The 19339-nt window shown below is 52.9% G+C and overlaps 1 protein-coding gene across 13 annotated transcripts in view, besides 5 other annotated features; it reads right to left on the bottom strand.

The window, feature by feature from the left end:
- Positions 11198-11327: an enhancer, noted in NCBI's record as "active region_10414". NCBI's record gives its function as "activates an Ori minimal core promoter by ATAC-STARR-seq in GM12878 lymphoblastoid cells {active_cell/tissue: GM12878}" and the evidence as "EXISTENCE:reporter gene assay evidence [ECO:0000049][PMID:35858748]".
- Positions 11198-12179: a biological region, named in NCBI's record as "H3K27ac-H3K4me1 hESC enhancer GRCh37_chr16:11276367-11277253".
- Positions 11293-12179: an enhancer, noted in NCBI's record as "H3K27ac-H3K4me1 hESC enhancer chr16:11276367-11277253 (GRCh37/hg19 assembly coordinates)". NCBI's record gives its function as "activates a minimal SCP1, AML or CMV promoter by ChIP-STARR-seq in primed H9 embryonic stem cells {active_cell/tissue: H9 hESC(primed)}" and the evidence as "EXISTENCE:reporter gene assay evidence [ECO:0000049][PMID:30033119]".
- Positions 12180-13065: an enhancer, noted in NCBI's record as "H3K4me1 hESC enhancer chr16:11275481-11276366 (GRCh37/hg19 assembly coordinates)". NCBI's record gives its function as "activates a minimal SCP1, AML or CMV promoter by ChIP-STARR-seq in primed H9 embryonic stem cells {active_cell/tissue: H9 hESC(primed)}" and the evidence as "EXISTENCE:reporter gene assay evidence [ECO:0000049][PMID:30033119]".
- Positions 12503-19339, bottom strand: part of CLEC16A (C-type lectin domain containing 16A) — a 237623-nt gene continuing 230786 nt past the window's right edge. For all 13 annotated transcript variants that reach the window (NM_015226.3, XM_005255214.3, XM_011522434.3 and 10 more), the window contains one exon: positions 12503-16354. In NM_015226.3, coding sequence (NP_056041.1) covers positions 15999-16354 — 356 coding nt within the window. In that variant the 3' untranslated portion in view covers positions 12503-15998. The remainder of the gene's footprint in view (positions 16355-19339) is intronic.
- Positions 13822-13981: an enhancer, noted in NCBI's record as "active region_10413". NCBI's record gives its function as "activates an Ori minimal core promoter by ATAC-STARR-seq in GM12878 lymphoblastoid cells {active_cell/tissue: GM12878}" and the evidence as "EXISTENCE:reporter gene assay evidence [ECO:0000049][PMID:35858748]".

Raw genomic sequence — 19339 nt, 5'->3', positions numbered from 1 at the left:
AGGATGGCGATGATTTCTCCCTTGGTGCTGGGCTCAGTGCCTGGTGTACACAATGGGGCTCTATGGGCAGAGACATGCATGTGGCTGCTGGGCAGGCACTCAGGGTGACTGACCCCAAAAACCATGAACAAAGGTCTACAGGGGGCAGAGCTGAGGGGCTCCCAACAACTCACAGAAGCCTGGACCTGCTTCCCCAGGGAGCTGAGGCTTGAGCAGGGCTTTGAAGGATGCATGAGTTCACCAGGCCCAAGAAATCGCCTGCAAAGGCTCTGAAACACAAAATAGCAAATGTCAAGGTAATGAAGAGCCTCTCGGAGGCTAAGATAGTTGAAAAGTGAATCAACAGTCCAGCGATTAGACTGCCAGGCTAAGGGGCTCAGGTCTAACTTGTGGGCCATCCTTCTTCTAATTCAAGCCTTTAAAGTACCACTTCTGTGGTTGAACCATGGCTGAGCACCATTATTTAACAATTTATTTAAAACGCAACAATTTTAAAAGGTAATTTCAACTTAAAAGTACATCCCACAATACTCTACAAGCAGAACACCAGCCCAGCTTGCCACAAATAGCAGGTAACTAAATAAATGCAATGAAAATAAAACAAGGCCAGTGTGGTGACTCACACCTATAATCCCAGTACTTTGAAAGGCCAAGGTGGGAGGACTGCTTCAGGCCAGGAGTTTGAGACCTACCTGGGCAACATGGTGAGACCCTGTCTGTACAAAAAAACACAAAAGTTAGCCAGATGTGATGGTGTGCACCTCCCAGCTACTTGGGAGGCTGAGGTGGAAGAATCCCTTGAGCCTGGGAGACAGCAGTTACAGTGAGCTGAGATTGCACCACTGTACTCCAGCCTTGGTGACAGAGTGAGATCCCATCTCCAAAAAGAAGAGGAGGAAGAAGAAGGAAGAAGGAAGGAGGAGGAGGAGAAGAGGAGGAAGAGGAGGAAGAGGAGGAAGAAGAAGAAGAGCAGGATGAGGAGGAAGAGGGAGGCAAAGAAGGAAAAGATGAGGAGGAGGAAGAGGAGGAGTTAGAGGAGGAGGAAAAGATGATCATCATGATAATGACTGATGATGAAGAGAAAGAAGAAGAGGAAGAGGATGAAGAGGAAGGGGAAGAGAGGAAGAGGAGAAAGAAGAAAAGTTATGATGCAGATGGGCCAGGCACCATGGCTTACACCTGTAATCCCAGCACTTTGAGAGACTGAGGCAGGTGGATCACCTGAAGTCAAGAGTTCAAGACCAGCCTGACCAACATGATGAACCCCTATCTCTACTAAAAATACAAAAAACTAGCTGGTGGTGGTGGTACTTGCCTGTAATCCCAGCTACTCAGGAGGCTGAGGCAGGAGAATCGCTTGAACCTGGGAGGTGGAGGTGGCAGTGAGCCGAAATCATGCCACTACACTCCAGCCTAGCCGACAGAGCCAGACTCCGTCTAAAAAAAAAAAAAAAAAAAAAGATGATGAAGATGATGCCAGGGAAGACAAAATGATGATGGTGATTTTTGTTTGTGGAATAACAAAGGGAAGTAGAATAACAAAGGATAGGCTTGGCTTTTAGAAAGTGTTTCTCACAATCACCTTCTCACAGCTGAAAAGCATGAGAGGAAGCTCTGTGAGTAGCCACTGAGCCTGGAGTGTCCTAGGTGGGTGGCTGGACCCTGCACTGGGGCTGCTCATGGGGCTGCCTGTCCAGAGACTGCAGCTCCCTAAAGGCAGTGGTAGCTTCTTCAGCCCCCTGCCCAGCCTGGGACAATCCTGCCCAGAGGGTCATGGGACTGCAAGGCACCTCTCAGTAGCCACTCCCTGAAGCCAGAGACAAGGGCAACTGGTTTATTCACCAATCTTGTGGCATGTCAAGGAGAAAAGGGTCACTGTAGGAGTGCCTGCTGGGGGCCAGCCACTCATGACCCCTCTTGGTGAAGCTGGTGTGCAGACTTTGCACACAGGCACTCTGGAAAGAAGGTGTCTGAACTTCCATCTTGCAGGAGGGGAAACTGAAGTTCAGAGATGTCCAGTCACTTGCTCTTGGTCACACAGAAAGTTGGTTGTAGAATCAGGAGTTAAAACCATGCTTGTCTAGCCCCAGGGTCTCTCTGTACATGTGTGTACATACGGGTACACACATGCATTGCACACCTGTGTGTGTGTGTGTGTGTGTGTGTGTGTGTGTGTGTGTGCATGTCTCTGGGAGCCCTCCCCTGTGAGACTGGTAAGCTGGACTTTTGGCAGTCACCTTCTAGCTGACCTCCTGGCCTCCACCCTCACCCTGCCCCAGGGTGTTCTCCAAGCAGAGGTCTGAGTGGCCCTGTTAAAACCTAGGTTGTGCCACAGCCCTCTCCCCCCAGTCCTCCAGGGCTCCCCATCCTTCTCAGAGGAGAGGCCAAGGTATCCTCTGTGGCCTCCCCGGTCTTCCCCATCATTGCTCTGACACCTCTACCCTTACTCTCCCTAGCTCCTCTCCAGCCATGCCAGTGCTCGCAGCTCCTCCAGGGTGCTCCAGGGCCTTTGCACTGGCTGTTCCCTCTGCCTGGGGTGCTGTCACCCCAGACATCCATGAGGTTCTCTCACTCACCTCCTTCAATCTCTGCTCAAAGTCCTTTCTCAGAACAACCTTCCCTGACCTCCTGGTTTAAAACGGTAGCTCCTTTCTTCCCCTTACTGGCCTGCTGATCCCCCTTCCTTGGCTGTATTTTTATAGAATTTACCTATTTTTAATTTTCTTTGTTGCCTATGTCCCCTGCTGGGAGGTCCTTCCCTCCCTTGTCTGAGTCATTTACTGCTGCCTCCCTAGTGACCTGTACAGTGTCTGGTACACAGTATGTGCTCAGTCAACGTTTTTTGTTTGTTTGTTTTTTGTTTTTTTAGACAAAGTGCCACTCTATCACCCAAGCTGGAGTGCAGTGACATGATCTCAGCTCACTGCAACCTCCGTCTCCTGTGTTCAGGCGATTCTCATGCCTCAGCCACCTGAGTAGTTGGGACTACAGGCGCATGCCACCACACCCAGCTATTTTTTGTATTTTTAGTAGAGATGGGGTTTCGCCATGTTGGTCAGGCTGGTCTCAAACTCCTGGGCTCAAGTGATTCTCCCACCTCAGACTCCCAAAAGTGCTGGGATTACAGATGTGAGCCACTGTGCCCAGCTAAGTTTTGCTGGATCAATGTTCAAGTCCTGGGAGAAGCCAAGCCTTCCCTCTCCACCTGCTGAAGCCTCCTGGGGAGGGGCCCGAGGATGGGGCTTTCTAGTTCCCACCTCTCATGACAGATGCCATCAAGGCCCAGGCAGACGGTGCGCTGCGCCAATGGATTTTGGCAGCAGTTACTCTGAAAAGGGCTGTTCCCGCTTGGGCAGATTGGCAGGAAAAGCCCCAAGTCAATAAGGGGTGGGAGATAAGCATGTTCGAGAGAAGCCACTGAGATTGGGTGGGCTCCAGGCTGTTCCTGTGAATCTGCAGGGCAACCCAAGGTGGGGGCGGGGTGGGGCAGGTGCCCTGCTGTGGCACCTGGAGCTGGCACAAGGCCTGCTCTGGCCCTGGTCACGGTGTGGGGTGGGGGCTCCTTCTGTCTTTGGCTGCCTGTATCTGCTCTGTGAGAGGCAAAGGATGCCAGGCCCAGGGCACTGGACCAGGCTCGTGGACTCCTGCTCAAGGCACTGCCGACTTCAGATTTTAGGTCCAAGTCCCAGGGGGGACTTCGCTTCTCAGCCAAGTGGCCCTGGTTCAAGGGTCCGCCATCTGTAACATGGGGATAATAATAGTCCCAGCGCAGCAAGGTTATTGGGAGTATGAACTCCGATTAGGCTTAGAAACTGCTTAGCTAAGCCTGGCCTGGAGGAAGTGCCCATTAAGTGGGAGTTTTTGCTGCTATTTTAGCTGCAGCAACACTGCCTCATAGCTGTGTGACTCAGGATCAGTCACTCAGCCTCCCTGGTCTGGGTCTCAGTTGCTGTTCTGTAAAAGAAGATGATACTACTAGAAGGCTTCCCACCATCTACAAGAGACTCAAAATATGCAGGCTGATTGAGGCTGGGAAGCTGCTGGGGGCCTCACCTGGATCAGAGGAGACTCCAGCCCTGGAACGTCAGACCTCCAGCTGGGATGGACTAGGGACAAGTGGAGGGAGGGGGGCCGCTGGCTGTGGGAATGTCGAGGATGGAGAGGGGAAATCTGAGGAGGCTTCTCAGAGGAGGTGAACTCTGAGCTGGGCTGTAAATCGGGAAAGATTTAAAATGTACAACATTTGGCGGTGGGGAGGCTGTGGTGAGATGGGCACTTGTGTACATCGCTGGTGAGAGTGTCAGTGGTCCAATATTTTTGGAAAGCAATCTGGCAATTTGTAGCCAGAGTCTTAAGATGGTTTACCTTTCTATGATCTAGTAATTCCCATGCTCAGGACCTCTTCTGGGGAGGTAATATAAAATGTGGATAGACCATGAGGGTGCACAGCTAGCCACAGGGATACATTCCCTGCAGCAGAACTTGTTACACACTTTAGAAATGGAGTTTCCATGGCCAGACTCAGTGGCTCGCACCTGTAATCCCAGCACTTTGGGAGGCTGAGGTGGGCAAATTGCTTGAGCCCAGGAGTTTGAGATGAGGCAGGGCAACATGGGGAAAACCCATCTCTACTAAAAATACAAAAATTAGCCGGGCATGTTGGTGCATGCCTGTAATCCCAGCTACTCAGGACACCGAGGCAGGAGAATTGCCTGAACCCGGGAGGCAGAGGTTGCGGTGAGCTGAGATGGCACCACTGCACTCCTGCCTAGGCAACAGCATGAGACTCCATCTCAAAAAAAAAAAAAAAAAATGGAGTTTCCAGGATCGTGGAGAAATGATGAACCATATCATGTCACGCTGGGTCAAAAGCATGACATGAAATGACACCCACTGTGTTATTTCAATTCTAAAATGCATAGAAAAAAGACCAGAAAGAAATCTGCCAGGATGTCCACAAGGGTTGTCCTTTAATGGTGAGATTATGGGAAATACTGTTGTTCTAGACTTTGCCAAATTGCCAGGAGAGCTGTGCAGTCCTTTTGGCAACCAGTTGCAGCAACACAGCAAAAGAGAAAAATGAAACCCGGCAAAGGAAGAGGTGACGGCAGCTCAGGTAGACACCGGGCACACGGATGGTTTGTTTGGACACTTGTTGAGCCGCCGGCCTGGCCAGAGACCAAGAGCTGTCCTTTACCCGTCCTCTCCCTTGTGGCCAGTCCGACCAAACCTGTCAATTTTACCTGCTGAACATGTTGCAGGTCACCCACTTCAGCTGTGACCTGTCCCCACTGCCATGGGCTCCTCTTGATCACTCGTCACCTGCAGCTCCGGCCATCTTCTTGCCAGCCACATCCAGCCAGGCGGTTTTTTTTGTGTAAAACACTTCAGTGTGTGCCATTGCCATTGGTCCCTCGGCCAAGCTCTCCAGTGTAGCTTTGAAGGCCTCTGGGGGCTGCCCAGGCAGGCCCTCTGGGTATGGCACCGTCACGCTGCGTTCCTGCCTTTCTAGCTGGCTTCTTTACCATCTTCCATCTACGCCACGCCCAGCCTGGCCCGGGAGCTAGTGCTGCAGAGTGGAGCCAAAGAACAAACACGGGGATTGAATGAACAAGCGGAGTGGTTCCTACCATCCGCTGGGGCATGCAAATGGGGAGAGGGAACCCAGGGAGCGACCCATTTTCCAGATGAGGAAATGGAGGCCTAAGAAGTTAGTTTCTGTGCCCTGTGTGCAGATGCCACAGCTGGGAAGTCATGGTCTGCCTGTCTGTTGTTAGATCCTGTCCTTTGTGAGGGCAATGGCTGTGTTCAGGTCACCTCTGTGTCCCCAGGATGCAGCCCAAGCAGGCACACAGGCGGAGGTGGAATGAGAGAGTGAGGAGGCCCTGGGTCTCGGCCCATAGGGCAGCAACTTGAATATTTTTAGCTGCCTTCTTGGGGAGGGGACATGCGGGTAGCAGCGGAGAGTGCTCAGGAGGGTGGCCTCAGTTTACCCACAGGGGCTGGGCTAATCAAATATTGAGCTCCCTGCACCTGACCCAGGGGTTCGGAAGGGCTACTGGAGGTGAAGGGGTCAGGGTAAGGAGAAAATACTGTACCAGCCACCGATCACCAGTCTGCCCCTAGGCCCAGGTGTTGGGGGAGCTGACAGGGTGGGGAGCCCACACCTGCCAAAGACTGGTCCGTACTTCTATCCAGGTGGACAAGGGCCCAAGATCCTCACATGTGATTTTTAAAGAGAAGCCAGGAATCCAGGTATTTGTACCAGATCCCCGACGTTTAAAATCTTGGCTCAATGGTTCTTTTAAAAGCCTTTGATGGCCAAACGGAACACACAGAGGGGCTGCACTGGACCCAGGGGCTGCCCATTTGTAACCTCTGGTTTGGGGGGTGTGGCTACTGTGTTTGGGGTCTGGTAGCGCCTCCCTGCATCCACTCCAGGTCCCCAGGCCCCCACCAGTCTTCCAGCCCATGTGCCTGTTGAGTCTCCAATTTTCTGTCCAAATGAGGAGCTCACTCAGGAGCCATCTCGGCTCCAGGCGAGGCAGCTGGGAGGAAGCAGGACCTTCATGGCATGGGACAGTCCTCAGCCAACAGGGCATGAGAGTTGGGGGATAAATGCCTGACCTCCTGCCCCTCCCAGGACCAGTCCCAAGGCTCATCTATGCAGCTCTGCAGAGGGGCTCCAGAGAGGCTGAGTATCAAGTGCCCCCAGCAGTGTCTGGCGGTGACCAGGCCAGCTGTGCCCTGTCTACTGGCCTCCTGCCCTTCTCTCCCAGCTCCCACTCCAGCTTCCTGGGGCCACTACCCAAATAAACCAGCAGCACTGTGTCCTCCTTTCAGGCCTCTGATGTCAGGGGTTCCCCAAACGAAAGCCATGAGATTTTGCTCATGGCAAAGAAACAAAAATCCTTTGAGGTGTGACAAACGCCAGGAAAGAAATGGGTGGCAGCTGCTGATGGAGGAAAGCAGGGGTCTGACGTCAGAATAGTCCCTGGAAGTAACACTGATTCTGTGGACGGAGGATAACGACAGAGGATGGGTGCAGGTGCAGAGGTTGGGGAGGGGGCTGGAGGGAGGAAAGGCAGGTGCCAAGGTCCTGGGAGGGGAATCAGTTGAGGGGTCTTCCAGGACAGGGCAGAGGGCTTGTGTGCTCCAAGTGGTGGGGTGTAGCCAGGGTGGGCTGCAGAGGTGGGCCAGGCTGGCTTCTTATTTTGGGTGCTGTATCAGTCAGGATTCTTCAGAGAAACAGAACCAACAGGAGATACAGATAGGTAGGTAGATAGGTAGGCAGGTATAGATATATAGATTTATAGGCTGGGCACTGCGGTTCATGCCTGTAATCCCAGCACTTTGGGAGCCTGAGGCAGGATAATCACTTTAGGCCAGGAGTTCAAGATCAGCCTGGGCAACATAGTGAGACAAAAAAAACTAAATTACCAAGTGTGCTGGCGCACGCCCGTAGTCCCAGATGCTCCGGAGGCTGAGGCGGCAGGATCGCTTGAGCCTGGGAGTTCGAGGCTGCAGTGAGCTTTGATGGCAACACTGCACTCCAGCCTCGGTGACAGAGTGAGACCCTGTTTCTAAAATAAAATTAAATTAAAAATGAGATTTACAGATGCCCCTCAATTTACAATGAGGCTACATCCCAATAAACACATCCTAAGTTGAAAACAACTTTAGTACCTCGATAAACCTGTCATAAGGTTGAAAAATTGTCAGTTGAACCCTTATAAGTTGGGGGCCGTCTGTATTATGGGAATTGGCTCATGCAATTCTGGAGGCCAAGGGGTCCTAGAATCTGCCGTCTGCAAGCTGGGAGGCCCAGGAAAGCCAGTGTCGTTCCAGTCCAAGCTGGAAGGCCCGAGAGCCAGGGCCTCTGATGTCCAAGGGCAGGCGAAGATGGACATACGGGATCAAGCAGAAAGCAAATTTTACCTTTTTCCTCCTTGTTTTATTTGGGCCCTCAATGGATTGAATGGTGGCCGCCCACAGTGGTGAGGGTGATCTTCTTCACTCAGTCTACTCTTTCAAATGCTACTCTCTCCCCCAGCCCCCACTTTTTTTTTTGAGATAGGGTCTCACTCTGTCACCCAGGCTGGAGTGCAGTGGCCAATCTCGGCTCACTGCAGTGGCCAATCTCGGCTCACTGCAGACCTCTGCCTCCTGGGTTCAAGCGATTCTCATGTCTCAGCCTCCTGAGTAGCTGGGACTACAGGTGCCCACCACCACGCCCAGCTAATTTTTGTATTTTCGGTAGAGACAGGATTTCACCGTGTTGGTCAGGTTGGTCTCGAACTCCCGACCTCAAGTGATCCACCCACCACAGCCTCCCAAAGTGCTGGGATTACAGGCATGAGCCACCTCACCCTACTGCAAATTCTACTTTCTTGCAGAAACACCCTCCCAGTCACACTTGGAAATCATGTCATGCCGCTATCTGGGCACCCCTTAGCCCAGTCAGGCTGACACATAAACTGAATCATCACAGCTGCCTCTGAGGATCAGCTGGGGACCTTAAAAAATTCCAGGGCTCAGCTGTACCCCACAGGTGCTGGCTTTGTACCTCAGGGGGTACATGTAACTGAGGGGGCCTGGGCCTGGGCTGAAGCCTGTTTTTCTGGCTGGGCCGCTGGTGAGACCCCCTGGCTGAAATTGCATGTGCCAGGCTGGGTACAGGTGCTTGATTTACCTGCCCCCACTTCATCTACACAAGCAAGGACACTGCCAGAAAGGTTCCCATTTTACAGATGAGGAAATTGAGCCTCATGCGGTTTCACCATGTACTCAAGGCCACAGGGATGGGGAGCATTGGTGCAGGGACTTGAACCTCGTCAGCAACTCCAAAGCCTGCACTGCCACCTACTCCACCCTGCTTGAGGTCTCGCTCATCACTGAGATACCAGCAGCAGCTCGGTCTCAGCTCAGATACCTGTGGAGGGTTGGGGGACACAGAATTTCTGATGGTGGCAGAGGAAAGCCCTCAAACACTCCTACCCTTGGCAACCTGGCCCGGGCAAATTCTCCTGAAGATCTTTGGCTGGCCCTGGTAAGGCCTGGAAGACACCAGAGTGAGCACACATAGGGAGAGGCTGAAAGTTAGGGCCATGGGCATGGAGAACTGAATGGAATTCAGGCTTTAAGAATCTGGAACTGTATCCAAGAATGACTCCATCCATCAGTCCATCCATCCATCCAACATACATGCACAGAGAGCTCATGGGCCAGAGCCTGCACCCAGCTCCCACAGAACAGGTGAAAATAAAACACAGTCGTTGCCTGTGGGTGAGTCTATTGGAGAGGGAGAACTGAAATAAGAATTGCAAGGCTGGGCGCTGTGACTCACGCCTCTTGTCTTAGTGCTTTGGGAGGCTGAGGCAGGAGGACTGTTTGAGCCTAGAAGTTTGAGATCAGCCTGCACAAGTGAGACCTTCTCGCAATGAAAAAATTAATAAATTAACCAGGAGCGGCAGCATGTGCCTGTGGTCCCAGCTCTCTGGGAGGCTGAGGAAGGAGGATCGTCTGAGTCCAGGAGGTTGAAGCTGCAGTAAACTATGACCGCCCCACTGCTCTCCAGCCTTGGTGACAGAGCTTGACCCTGTCTCCAAAAAAAAAAAAAAAAGAATTCCACAGTTCGCAACACACTGTGATATGTGTGTGTCATAGTGGCATCTCTGATCTGGGATGACATTTAGGGGTACAAGGACTCAGACTTAAATACCCTAGTCCCAGAGTGAGCTGGTTCTTTTCTTCTGTCAGCATTTTTTTTTTTTTTTTTTTTGAGACAGGGTCTCACTCTGTTGCCCAAGCTGGTGTGCAATGGTGCAATCTCAGCTCACTGCAACCTCCACCTCCTGGGTTCAAGCGATTTTCCTGTTTCAGCCTCCTGAGTAGCTGGGACCACAGGCCTGGTTAATTTTTGTATTTTTAGTAGAGACGGGGTTTCACCGTGTTGGCCAGGCTGGTGTCGAACTCCTGACTTCAAGTGATCTGCCCACCTTAGCCTCCCAAAGTGCTGGGGTTATAGGCATGAGCCACCATGCCCGGCGTTTTAGCTCTTCTGATCCTATCACTGAGAAAATCTTGGTTAGGCGCCAATAGGCCTCCCCTATTAATGGCACAGGCAAGGCTGGGCCCAGAGCCTGTGGCAGGTGCTAGGACCTGGCTAAAAATTTAATGATATGGATTTGCTTGTGCTGCATTTGTTTTTATATCTTTAATTTCTGGCAAGGGTAATGGGTTGAATGGTGAGCCCTTCTAAAAAGGTGTCCATGTCCTGAATCTGGTCCCTGTGAATGTGACGTTATTTGGAAATAGGGTTTTTGCAGAGGAAATGAAGGATCTTGAGTTAAGACCACCGTCGATCAGGGCGGGCCCTAAATCCAATGACTGCTGTCCTTTCAAGAGAAAGGAGAGGGGGATTTGACACAGACACGGGGAAGAAGGTGCTGTGGGGAGAGGCAGGGACTGGAGTGATTCACTCATGGGGCGAGGAACGCCAAGTGCCGGAGCCACCGGAGCTGGGAGAGAGGCAGGAGGCAGCTTCTCCCTCTAAGCCTCCAGGAGGAGCAGCCCTGCTGGCAACTTGATTTTAGACTGGCCTGCAGAACTGTGGGAGAGTAAATATCTACTGTTTTAAGCTGCCCTGTTTGTGATCATTTGTCATGGCGGCCCTAGGAAATGAATGCTGCAGTGGTGCTGGTTTTCTGTTTCCAGCGAAAAGTCTTCCTCTTAAAAAAATTGAATTTAAAGGGCAAACCAAGAGTCAAGGAAGCAAAGCCAGGTGTGGTGGCACTTGCCTGTAGGCCCAGCTACTCAGGAGACTGAGTTGGGAGGTTTGCTTGAGTCTGGGAGATGTAGGCTGCAGCGAGCTGGGACCACACCAGTGCACTCCGGCCTGAGCAACATAGCAAGACCCCGTCTCAAAAAAAAAAAAAAAAAAAAAAGGGCAAGGAAGCGTCAGTGGAGGTGACAGGCAGGCGGCAGGCATGTGTTCAGGGGGCACGTGCTGCCCTCTGGGAGGAAGTCAGACTGAGCCAGGCAGTGTCAGGACTGCAGGGACCTGCAGAGCAGGCTGGGCCCCAAGGCAGGCGCACGGCCTGGGAGCCCAGGTGGCTGGTCTCTAAGTGGGGCAGGTAGACCCAGGGCTGGAGCAGGGCCAGCAGCCCCGGGGCCTGTGGAGGGAAGGGAAGCTTCACACTGCCCATCGGGCAGCCTTAAGTGAATCCCCAGGAAGCCCCTTCACCCCATGGGTGATTCAGAACCAACTTTCCTTTGGAGAAAAGCTCTTTAGACGTTAAGGGTTTTTTCCCAACGCCATGAAGTGCCACAGAGCAGTAGGACGTGGGGGAAGGGGGTTTCCAGCAGCTGGCTGGCCGGCAATCGGTCTTCCCCTAGAGGTCACCCGCAGGCAGGTCACTACCACCTGCCCTTGCTGGCCCCGCCCTCCGGCTAGAGTCAGGACGCTCTGGGCCTGTTGGGCATAATCACTGGACCCTGCGAGGCTTCGCTTCATGGCTACCGAGGGGAACCCTCCCGAGGCCCTGGGGAAAACACTGACAGCAGCCGGTATACGCAGGCCACTTCCAACCGCAGAGCAGGGGATATACAGACATGCTCTGGGGGCACCAGAGAAGTGGCCCCAGCCTCTCAACCAGCCCCAGGCGACCCCTGGGTTTGAACCTGGGCTGGGAATGCAAGGAGGGAGGAGCTGTCACCCAGCGGGTCTCAGACATGTAAATGCCCACGAGGCCTGAGACCCGGGTGAGGCGGGGGCATGGGAGGGCAGCTCTGCCCTGGGCAGTGGCTTCCTCCTTCTGTTGGCATAACCCCAACCCTTGGCATGCGGTGGGGGAAGGGGGTCCCTTGTTCATTCTTTCTCGACTCAACTTGGTTATCCTCTCAAGACCCAGAAGTTCCCTGCCATTTCTGGGTAGGGTTTAAGCTGGATGGTGAGATTTTGAGAACCTGTGATCCTGTTTCCAGGGATTTCAGGGTTTCACGCTGGTGGACGTTGGTGTTTCCGAGTCATGTCCACCCCCGCACTTCACCTCTGTCCTCGGTGGGGAGCCTTCCTGCTTCCCTCGGCCCAGCCTGGCAACAATGACGCTGCTCGCTACGCTTGTCCTGCGAGGTAGGGCTTGGCTGTCCAAATCCACAGATGCAGAGCCTGAGGCTTGGATGGGCAGCCACCTGCCCAACAGGGAAAAGATGCAGAATGTGGACCACGCTCCCTGTACCCGGCAGGGGTAGGGCGGGGACATTTCCTGATGGTGCCAACTGCCCCTTAGCAGTTATTCCCGGGTTGTATGAGCCCCGACAACCTCTTAGGAACCTGGGGATGGGAGGGAACCTGGTGCGGGGAGGAGGGAGAGGGAGGGGCTCCAGCCACCACACCCCTGCCAAGCAGCTGCGCCGGGATGAGGGGTCATTGGCTGGGAACCTTCCCCTGTGCCAGGCCACGGCCTCCTGCCACAGCCCCCAGGAGCAGCACGCTACATTCTTGGTAACTTTTTTTCTCTTTTATTGCCAAGTTTAAATTTACAAGGAAGTTCCAGTTTTCATTTCCACCCTCGTGTTCAGTACCCACGAAGCATGAGTCATGCTGGCGAAAGCAGGTACTTCCCTAGAGCGGTCCCGAGGCTCAGAGGCATCGAGGTTTTCTAACCCTCGGTTCTCACTGGGACAAAAATTATTTACATATTTTTAGCTCAAGGAAACATAAGGAACTCGTACAGTGTAGGCCCAATGTCAAGATGACTACATTAAATGCTTCAGATTTATTTATTGCATCTAGACAAGAAGATCAAAATCAGTTCACCCCACGCCTTTTTAAAAAACGGTGCATCTCAGAGACCTTAGAGGAATCTAGCGCGTCTGGCAGGGCTGCGCTTCTTCACCTGCCCCTTAGGTTGCTTGTGAACGCAAGTGTCTGGGTTGTGGGAGGCTGCCAAGGCTCCGGGAGAGGGACTGGGCTGGGACAGCGGCAGAGGAGGGGCTGCTCACGGAGGCCCCTCCTCCCAATCCCACGCGATGGTGAAGGCTGGCCCTTCCTGCCTGGGGGAGCGCCTCAGCTGGCCCCATCTGACCTGCTGGGACAGGTACCTTGCACGTCCAGAAAGGGACGAGCACACCTCCACAACAATATTCAAAGCCAAGGTTTGGGAGTTCCTGCGGCCAGCCCTGCTCCCTGACTTGGCAAACCCAGCCGGAGGTGCACAGGGGAAGGGTGGACCAGGGCCTGGGCCATAACTCTAAGTGCTCTCTGCAGGGACTTGGGGGGCGGGCCGGATGGGTCTGTGGGGGCTGACCTCAGACCTCTGAGGCTATGACCTGAGTGTCAGAAGCCACAGCCCCCACTGTGGGCCTTCCCACACTCCTGGCTCTTCCTCTGGATGCCAGGGGCCCAGCGTGTCCTGTCTGGACTGGCCTGTCTGGGAGCGCCCCAGCTATGAGGTTTGACGGGAGCTCCTGAAGACATAGCTGTGCCCACTGCCGCTGAGACCTGGGTGAGGTGGGGTCCTTTGAAGCCAAAATGGCTGGTGGCCTCCAATGGGCTGGCTCCCAGACCTCCTTACATAAGCAAAGCTTCTGGGAGCCCTGGTTATAGGAAATCCTCACCCCACACACCTGGAGGTGTCCCCCAGACGCAAGTTGCCAGCCCCAGCTGAAAGAGGCCCCTGAGAGTGACCCTGCAAGCCCACATGGGGACTGCCCTTTTCTTGGCCAGGGATGCAGGGTAGAAGCCCTGCCCTGAGCAGTGTCTTTTATCCTCCGCTGGTCCTCCCAGTCACCTTTAATCCTCTGCTGGTCCTCCCGGGCATGCTGTCCAGCCCTGACCAAGACCTCTCTCCTTCAGTGCTCAGTGGTTACAAGACCAGTTGGAGCCCAGAGACTTCTGACAGCAGGCTGGTGGCCCACCCGTGTGGCATGGAGTGAGCTGCAGGCTGTTCCTCCTGGTCACGCCTTGGGGTGGGGCAGCCACTTGCCTTCTCTAGTTTCTGCTGCCCCACAGACAGAGTCATTTCAAAACCAGAAGTGCATGTCTCAGGGGCTAGCCATCTCCAGCCAGGGCCAGCTTGATCCTCTCTACCCCTCTTGCTCTTAAAAAATTAAGCAACACACAGGCTGCCTGCTGGGTGTGGCGTGTCCCGTCTCCTGATGCTGTGGTCCTTCTCTCCATGATGGTCTTCCCCCCGCTCCACCCTGCCTTCCTTCTCTTCCAGGGATTCTGCAGATGGCCACGGTGGTCGTGGTTTGTCCTTCCTTTGGGTTTCTGCCCATGTGGCCCCCTTTCTGAGCTGTGCGTTTTCTCTATGGAAGCAAAGGTCCTTGTACCTGCAGCCATGAAGGCTGGGTGGGCACAGCTACCCAGAGGGCTTCTAAGGACTGAGGCCTGTCCCCATGGGCGCCACTCCCCCTCCTTGGCAGGACTGTGTTTCCTTCATGAGGTTGAAAACTGCCCTCGGCAGGCCTTGCCGGGACAGCTGGCTGGGCCGAGGAGACAGAGACCATGTTCTTCTAAAATGCAGGTGGCAAAAGATCTCAGCGCGGCTCCCGAGACTACCCTATGGCCAGGCTCCGGCGGATACCTAATGCCCCTGGTGGGCACATCTGCTGGCAGGTCTGGAGGAAAGTTGTGGAAGGTCTCACCAGTGACCAGAGAGGTGAGGGGCCGCTGGCCCTGGTGGACTTGGGGAGGGTGGATCACGGCCTGGGCTGTGAGTGCTGTGTCTGGCTCCCGAGCTGGCCGAGTAGAAAGGAACATCTTGGGGGCTGTGTCTGATGCATCTGGGTCCTTGCTTGTACACACCCAGTCCGAATGGGGAAGGGAACCATGGGGTTTCCATATTCAGATCAGCAGCAGTAGCAGAGGGAGAGTGACAGACTCAGAGCTCTGGGGACACCATGCCCTTGCAGCTGGAGGGGAACTGGCTCTGGGCCATCTCTCGGCACATGTGGGCACACACAGTCGAGGGCAGGTGACGTAGAGGGTGTCTTCCTTTGATTTCCATCATGGCCACAGGGTCGGGAGTCTTCACGGTCCCAACTGGTTCCTTCTTAGAGATGGTAACACTGAAGAAGGTGCTGGAAGCTGTCTCTGTTTGGTTTTGGTGAAGAGAAATGAGGAAGCGTCCTGAGTGGGGAGCTGGCTACATTCCTCCTTTTCCTGGAGAAATCTTTCCATGATGGGAGGCCTCTCGGCTGCTATAGCAGAAAACCATTCAGCCCTCTCAGCTCTGTGTGTACCTGAGAATACATGTATCTCCCTTGTTTTTGTTTAAAAAATAATCCAAACTTTCCAGGAAGGTACTTCATTATTCCACAGGCTTGCAGAGTTAGTGAGTAACAAAGAATCACTTAAATAAATGGAAAAAGCCACACTAAGAACTCTGAAACAAAATATCAGGAAAGGTCCAGTGAAAATGATCATGAAATCTTAACTGTTATTATTACACTTTTCACATGACATCAAACCTTAGTGTTGATGTTTTTGGACTTCTTTTAAATAGAAGTTTTAAAAATAAATGTTCACCTGCTGCCAAAAGCGGAAATAAATATCCAAAGGAGATGTTTATCTAAGTCTGCTTTTCTACAAATTTCTACGTACAGTGACCTGGTCCAATTCTTCTGTGCACACTGGGGCTGGTGACAGAGGAGCCATATGACAGAGGAAGAAAGAGGTGCCGGTGGGTCCTGCCACCCGGGGCTCAGAGACACGGAGCCCAGGCAGCTCCCTGAGTGGCCGGTGCAGTCATCTGCATTCGCCGCGGTGTCTCCGCTGGTCCCAGCCTGCACGTGAAGAGATGCAAAGTGAAAAAGGAATTCAAGGACAACGTGGGGCTTCTTCCCATTCAAGGGAGCGCAGGGATAGGTGGTTGAGATGGCTGCTGGGGGCCGCACAGAATGGTGGGTGCTCCCAGTGTGTCTTGCCAGTCAGCGGCACTGGGGTCCCTACCAGCGGGGCCACACACACAAAGGGAGGCCCCGGCACTGACTCAGTCCTCAGCGGTGCCCACAGGCTCAGCACATGCAGCCTCTTCGCCCACGGGCTCTGTGCAGGCGGCAGCCGGCGTGGACAGCGGGGGCATGCCGGTGAGGCTGCGGAGGCTGTGGGGGTCAACTGGGGGGACAAGGGTCAGCGATTCGACGCTCAGCGTGTCAGCCGTGTCCTCGCAGAGCAGGGAAATGGTGGGCTGCCGGGCAGGGACGAGGCTGGGGGACAGGCTGGCTGTCTCCACGGCTGCGCTCCTGGCCACGTTCTTGCTGGGCTTAGAGTCTGCTTCCGTTTCGTTGACGATTACCAACTGGTCAGGAAGGTGAGGCTTAGGCAGTTCTGGACTCATGGGGGCATCTGGATTGGGGGAGAAAAACCGGAAACACACTGAGCCCTTGAGACACCCCGTCGCACTGCGCCCTGTGCTCCCATCCTGAACCGCGGCCCTGGTGAGCTAGGTGGGAGGTGGCTGGCTGGCGTGAGGGCTCAGCGTGGCTCCACTCACTCCTTTTGGGGACACAGAACCTGCAAAATCCAGTCTGACTTAGGCCTGGGGAAAATACAGCAGGGCCTAGGGTTACCCTGACTTGTGATATGAGGGGAAAATTCAGGGCCTGTGCAAAATCAGCATGTGGCTTATGAAAGCACAGTTCCTGGGTGCAGAGACCCAGCTGACAGGCTTTATGTGTGGGCAAATCTCAGGCCTGCCTGATGATAAATACTTGTTTGGGAAGTAAATGGGCTTGGGTGTGCTCGTAATATCAGGCCATTTCCAGAGTATACATTTGATGACATTTACCCAAGAGGGAACCCACTGCAATATTAAAAAAAAAAAAAAAGGAAATTCTGTAGAACTTTTCAGCTTGCAAAACCAAAACAAAACCTTGGCCTGTCTCCTCCTCCTCCTCCTCAAAGTGCTGAGCCAGCACCCACCAAGGGGCTGCTGTGGTTCCTCAGGCCATTATTGTCCCGAGCTTCCCGGCAGGGGCCACTGAGAAACCACGCCAGGACAAGGCAGGTGAGGTTCCACCCAACGCAGTTATTCTTGGAGCAGCAATTTCTTTCCTTGGTGCTTTTTTTTTTTTTTTTCTTTTGGCGGAGTCTCACTCTGTTGCCCAGGCTGGAGTGCAGTGGCATGATCTTGGCTCTCTGCAACTTCCACCTCCCGGGGTCAAGTGATTCTCGTGCCTCAGCCTCCCGAGTAGCTGTGATTACAGGCATCTGCCACCACATCCGGCTAATTTTTGTATTTTTGTAGAGATGAGGTTTCACCATGTTGGCCAGGCTGGTTTCAAACTCCTGACCTCAAGTGATCCGCCCGCCTCGGCCTCCCAAAGTGCTGGGATTACAGGCATGAGCCACCGTGCCCGGCCCTTTTCAAAATCCTACAGACACATGCTGGCCCATTTGCCTTCCAGTGATGAGCCTGCCTGAACAGAAACACCAGATGCAGCTGGAATTCATTGTGGAAAACATCTTCCAGCACTTCAGATGCCGGGTGTTTAAAAACATTGAGAAGAAGACAGTGGGCATCCTGCTTGGAGGCAAATTCTCATTTGCACAGAGCTGGGGGTCCCCAAGCCATGGCGGGAGGTGCTGACGATGCTATATCGAGCTAAGAGTCTGACAGCAGCCTGGGACCCGGGAAGCATGGTAGAATTTTTTTTTGTTCAACGTGATTCCAGTTTAGTTTTTTATTTTCTCTTTTAAGTCAGGCCAAAATAAAACAGAAGAGCAAATGGAACATAAAGCAAAATAATGGAAAAACAAAGAACGAAATAAAAGCAGGCAGCATATAGAAAGGGAAGAGGGAGAGGAAGAGAGCTCCCATCACGGAGCGAAAGCACGAGAGACAGACTGGATTTCAAAGCACACACCGGCATTTCTCCCCACAAGACTCTGGGCAAGATGAACTCTAAAAGGTCACAATTCATTTCATTTCTTTTGTTTTTTTGAGACAGGGTCTCACTCTGTCACCCAGGCTGGAGTGCAGTGGCATGATCATAGCTCACTGCAGCCTCAACCTTCTGGACTCAAGTGATCCTCCTGCTTCGGCCTCCTGAGTAGCTGGGACTACAGGCCCGTGTCACCACACCTGGCTAATTTTTAAAGTTTTTTGTAGAGACGGGGTCTCATTACGTTGCCCAGGCTGGTATGGAACTCCTGGGCTCAAGCAATCCTTCTGCTTTGGCCTCTTAAAGTGCTGGGATGTGCACAGGTGTGAACCACCGTGCCCAGCCCAATTAATTTCTTCCTAATGTCTTTTTTAAAAGAGAGAGAGAGAGAGAGAGATCTAGAGGAAACCACTGCATGAGGCTTTGGTCCTCGCTCTGGGAGGGTGGCAATGGGCATCGGTGAACACTAGTGGAAAAAGTGATTTGAGGTGTGATCTGAGCCCAGAAATGCTGAGTAAACACTACATGCGAATTCTGGTTTCTTTGAATTTCAACTGATTTGCTCCATTCAGTAAGGATGGCTTGCGGTGCTGGGCTGGTTTCAGCTCAGGCGTGCGCCCTGACCTAGCACGATCTGCCTGCTGTTCCTCAGAACCTGTGGTTCCCTGAGCAGTGCTCACCTGCTCTGGTGGCCTCTGCCCTTGCTTCGAATGGGCATGAGCAGACCTGTGACAAACTCACACACATGTGGATCCACACATAAATTTTGCTGCTGAGGAGGCAGTTTAGAAATGACTAATTCCCCAAATGGCACTGTCCTACCATCTGGAGACAAAGTAGCCAAGCGTTACCTTCACGTTTTCTTAAAATTTCGATGTAAGTGTTTTCTCTCTTTGCTCAAGTCTGCATTTGCATGCAGATATTCAAAGAAGCTGGCCAACTTCGTTCCCTGCTCCTTAATGGGGTGTTTGGTTATGAGAATAATCAGGGATGTGGAAACCTTGTAGGCAAATATATCAAAAAGAGCAAACCAACTAACAATAGCATGCGCACAGAACTGATTTCTTCTTCAGGAAAAGGACCAACAATTTTTATTAAAAGGGTTGGTTTCCCCGCTAAAAGTAGCCTCTTTTTAAATAGGGAAAAAATAACCTCTTCTTACCCATCACCTATGACATGGCCTTGTTGTTGTTTAAGAACTGCTTCCTGAACTTGATCTACAAGGGTATCCAACCAAGGCAGGTGAAAAAGGAGAACTCTGCCAGGTTTTCATTGGGGGGAAAATTACCCAGTGAGGACACTTTTTTCTAGTCAAGTGCTGAGCTGCAAAAGTTACTGGTGAAGCCTTGGCTTCATGCCTGCTGGTGTTTTTGAACTCTAGGGCCACAAGTTGAGGCCAGGCTCAGGAAATGAGGGATTTGGAGAAAAGTCTGACTTCCTGGCCACG

This window comes from Homo sapiens, chromosome 16 (assembly GCF_000001405.40).
Source record: "Homo sapiens chromosome 16, GRCh38.p14 Primary Assembly".
Classification (NCBI taxonomy): Eukaryota; Metazoa; Chordata; class Mammalia; order Primates; family Hominidae; genus Homo; species Homo sapiens.
The sequence above is the reverse complement of the archived record's forward strand: the minus strand, read 5'-3'. Positions and strand labels throughout refer to the sequence as shown.